Below are 4,901 nucleotides of genomic sequence, written 5' to 3' on the forward strand. Positions count from 1 at the left end.
GGATTTAGGTAGAGTATTTAAAACTCAGCAGGGAAAGGTTTGGGTGAGAAAGTGTACACCTAACTTGTCGTAAAACAATAAACTTCATTTATTAATTTTCATTTTTCTCTCTTTGCTCTTTTCAGTATGATTTGCTTTACTGTTGATAAAGTGAGTTGGCTTTATATTGTGTCAATAAGCCCATCTTCATTTATCAATAACACGAATGCAGTATTTCCCTAGAAGAGGCTTAACTGGGCTAAGCAGCGATGAGAAAGGAGAGAGGATGACTTCTGAAAAATCCAAAAGAATCACAGACTCTGAGATTTCCCCAATCTAGTGGAGTTTTCCTCAGTTCCCTGCTGAGCCTTCCCTTGTAGGGCTTCCCATCTGGAAGGCTCCTCCTCTCTCTCTTTATTCGCTGGGAAAATTATCCCAACAAAGCAATCACAGGATGCATGTCTTGTTTCCTTTGCTGGGGTCACCTCCACCAGGGCTTAATAGCCTTGGTGAATTCTCACTGATGGATTGATGTTGGCCCCTGGACTCTGAGCCCCTCCAGGCCCTGCAAGCCCCATTCCTATGTCAGATCCCTGACAGCTCCTAACCCATCCAATGCTGGGGCAATTGGCTGGGGGTGAGGCAGTGAATACTTATCAAGCACCTGCAATAAGCCCAGCACTGTGATATGTACTCTACAGATATTTAACTCCACTGAGACTCAGCATCACAGTTAAAAACAAGGGGAGGTGGGTGGCCTTGAGTGAGGCTTCCAGAGTTCAAAAATAATAGTTCCTACTTGAGGACTACCATAGAGATCAAAAGAGAGGAGGCAAAGGGTTTACCATTATGCCTGGAACTTAAAAAATACTCCATCGTGTTATTTTCAAACAAGGGCATTTTACAGATGCAAAAAGTGGAGCTCAGAAAGGTGAATAAATATGACTGATAAAATTTAGGTCCAGGTCTGCCTAGGTCTAAGTCCTTGCAGTACCCACTATATTAGTGTCACTCGAAGAATGGCATGGAGATATTTGCATTAGAATCACATGAGGAGCTGGTTTAAGAAGCAGAATCCCAGACGTCCAGAACTGGAACCCCTGGAGGGTAAGGCCCAGGGATCTGCATCTTTCACCAGCTCCCCATGTGACCTAATGTGCACGAGGCCAGCTCACCTCTCTTGGACCTGACACAAGCCAGGGATTTGTGCTTTGGCCCCTCTGTTAGTTCAAATGCAAGGCATGGGCAGCATTCTCTGCAGCTTTCTGGGGCCCAGCTAAGGCCATTATGACCCTGGACTCATGCATAGCCTGAAAGGCGAGTAAAGCTGTGTTCCTTTGGATCAGGGCATCACTGAGGGCAGAAAAATGGGTCTCGGGTCTCAAGGAAAACAAGCCTCAGCTGGGAGAAGAGGATGAATCAAAAAGAGAAAACCCCACCTAATTCTCAGCACAGGGCAGCTTGCTGAACAGAAATGTCTCATTGTGCCCCACTGTGAAGCAGTGGACCTCCATGCCACATAAAGTATTTTGGTACCTCTCTCAAGGTACTGTAGAACTTGAAAGAGACTTCTTTGAAGCTTCTGTCAGATGACAGGCAGAGCTGAGTGTAACACATACCCATCAAACAGAAGGGACTCGGGTTGGACCTGGAAGAGCATTTGGGGAACCTTTCAGGGGCTCCAAGGCTGGCAGGCCAGGAAGGGGCTACCCACCTTCCCCACAGTGGTGGTTCACACAGCCCCGCCCAGACCTCAGCTCTTGCTCTGAACCAAGAACTATCCAGGGCATTTCACATATGAGACCTCAGGTAACTCACATCAACTCTGTGGAACATCACTATGCCCAACTGACAGGTTGAGACTTTAAGGCTTAGGGAGATGAGGTCACTTGTTCAGAGTCACACAGCAGAGATTATGGAGCTGGGATTCAAGTTCAGTCTTAAATGGCATCTGCCCTACACAGAGGGCTACAAGCAACGGACTGGCAGGGAGGGGAAGAAGGCTTGGCCATGTGCCCCTAAGGCTCACCATTCAGGTTCAGCTCTTGGCTCCTGATGCTCTCTGGAGTCCCCCAACTGGGCCAGTCTCCCAGGCACCTTGACTCACCCCTCTCAGCACTTGACTGAGCAAGGTCCTTTCATATTTTAATAACGTGAGCAGGAAGTACAGAGAGTTTCCATGTATCTCCCACCCCCTTAATAAGCCCAACGTCTACTACTGACATCCTACAGCACAGTGATACATTTGCTACAATTGATGAACCTATATTGACACGTCATTGCCACCGAGTCTGTAGTTTACATGAGGGTTCTCTTTTGGTGTTGCATATACTGTGAATTTGGAAAAGTGATGTGTATCCACAATCATAGTATCAGAGAGAGTACTTTCACTGCCCTAAAGCTCCTCTGTGCTCTGCCTGTTCATCTCTTCCTCCCCTAACCCCTGGCAACCACTCATCTTTTTACTGTCTCCATTGTTTTCCCCTTTCCAGAATGTCACAGAGTTGGAATCACATTGTTTGTTGCCTTTTCCAGTTGACTTATTTCACTTAGTAATATGCATTTAAGATTCCTCCATGTCTCAATGGCTCCATAGCTCATTTCTTTTTATGACTGTATAATATTCCATTGTCTGGTTGTACCATAGTCTATTTATCCATTCACCTACTGAAGGTTGCTTCCAAGTTTTGCTAATTATGAATAAAGCTGCTTTTCATATTTTTTTAAAACTTTATTATTATTGTCATTGTAGTTCTTGATATCGTTAATGCAAGTTTACAATTCAGATTAAATAAGAAGAAAAGTTCTTAATCTCTGCTACTCCAAGGATTGCTTTATCTTATATTTTTTTAAAAATGAGATTATACGATAAATGTTATTTTCTAATTATTTATTTTCCACTTAATCTGATGTGGAATATGTCACCTGTCTCAAAGACATGGTCCAACTTGTAACATGTTTGTGGGGTTCTGGAGATGGCTGTGTGACTTATTCAACCAGATCCTTTCTGATGGAAGTGCAGATTGTTCCAGATGACTTACACTTGCAGGTTCTCATGGTGAGGAAAGTTCCCACACTTTTTCAACCCAGCTACGCGGGACTCACATAGGCCAGCCTAGCCCCCACTTCCTTCCCTTCTCACATGAAGACTTGGGAAATGTTAAGGGAAGAAGAGGGGGTCTCAGGAGCCGAGGGGCTGGCAATGCGGATGCTGCTGATGTCAAGTAAAAGGAAGACTGAACAACACCCATCAGATTTAGTGGCCCAGAGTTATTCTTCCATGCCCTCACCTGACCTCGGGGTGAGGCATGGAATTCCAGCCTCCTGGGGGAGGGGCAGCAATGGGAAAGCCCAAGGGTCATCAGAATTGCTACCTATCTGGCATATGTATCCTTGCCCTGATGCCTCACACCCATTCTCAGTTCCCCAAAAACAGCCCTACCGGTAGTTTCTGTTCTTCCCATTTTATATACAAGGAAATTGAGGCTGAGAAACCTCACCTGAAGTCAAGTGGCCAATAAATCACAAAGCCAGGGTTCAAACTCAGTTGCTCAGGGCCCAAAGCTGGGTCAATTGCCCCAACCAGAGAGATGGCCCAGCCAGCCCACCCCATGGGCTAAATGACCTGACTGTTGTCTGAGAATTAGCTGATTCCCATTCACCAGAGTTCTCAAAACCACCAGCAGTTTCTGCATTGGTTATTTTGCTGCTTTTTTCTTTTAATTAAAAAATAATACAGGGCTACGGTTTAAAAAACATTTAAACTGGAGAGAAAAGAAGCAACCCTCAGACCCATTCTCTAGAGGTAACTTATGTGACCAATTTTGGGGGCCATGATGTGCATTTCATACGTATTTTGTGTGCACGTGTGTATGCACACACATGTACACACATACAATAACTGCACTGCACACCCCCTATTATAGCCAGCCTCTATGCACTGGATGCTTTCAAGAACATTGCCCCATTTCATCTTCATCAGTATGCCAGGGCCTGGACACTATTACCTTCCCCACTTTAGTGATGAGAAAATTCAGGTTCTGAGAGGCTGAGCCACTTGCTCAAGCTCACTCAGCTAGTGAGAGGCGAGACTGGAATTCAGGAGCAGGCTTTTCATAGCACCTTCCTGCCTATAAAGAGGGGTGGCTGAGAAAACCCATTCCATGTCCTTGAAACAAAAGGCTCAGGAGGCCCAGACTGGGGGATGAAGTAATCCCTCAACATCTAGCAACTATGGGGCACCTACTGAGTGTCAGGCAGTACATTGCCTGGACCTCGGGGATCTCATAGTAACAGCCCCAAGAAAGACCATCCTGAGCAAGAGGCACCCCTGGCCTCCCCATGGCCCAGAAGGATGGCTTGCATGGTGACAACAGAGGCAGCAAGAGGGGAGGGAAATGGGTGGCAGCTCCAGTGGACACAAGCAGGAGTCTGCAGAGCTTCCTGGGAGGGGTCCCAGGGATAAGACCCACACAGTGGTCCCGCTTTCAGTCATTTCTTCCTTCCAAGCTCTCACAAAAGTACTCGTGGCAGATCTATCTGGGTCACAGGACAGAAATAAACATCATTTGAATAATCCCAGGCTGACAGCCTTGGAGAATGGACAGGAAAATTAGCCCCTGGAAAAGGCAAATCTGAGCATGTCACCAGAGGCACCAGAGGGTGTCTCAGTAGCCTCGGTGCCTCCTGGGAGCGCTCACCCTCACCCAGGCCCTTGGCTCAATGCCCGAGAGAAGGAGACAGCAAAATGCAGACTCAGGAGTGGAGGCCCACGACATCAGCCAGTGGCTTCATTGTTGCTATCAAAGAAGACAGGATTCGAACCCAGGTCTCTCCAACCTCACCTCTTCCTCCTGTCTCCTTACAGGAGCCATCTGGAGTTGGGTGGCCCATCTCAGAAGGAGTTGGATGTCTCGCTTGGA

The 4,901-nt window shown here is 46.7% G+C and overlaps 1 annotated feature.

The window, feature by feature from the left end:
- Positions 4,163-4,663: an enhancer, noted in NCBI's record as "H3K27ac hESC enhancer chr20:39391384-39391884 (GRCh37/hg19 assembly coordinates)". NCBI's record gives its function as "activates a minimal SCP1, AML or CMV promoter by ChIP-STARR-seq in primed H9 embryonic stem cells {active_cell/tissue: H9 hESC(primed)}" and the evidence as "EXISTENCE:reporter gene assay evidence [ECO:0000049][PMID:30033119]".

Source organism: Homo sapiens, chromosome 20 (genome assembly GCF_000001405.40).
Source record: "Homo sapiens chromosome 20, GRCh38.p14 Primary Assembly".
NCBI classification, from domain to species: domain Eukaryota; kingdom Metazoa; phylum Chordata; class Mammalia; order Primates; family Hominidae; genus Homo; species Homo sapiens.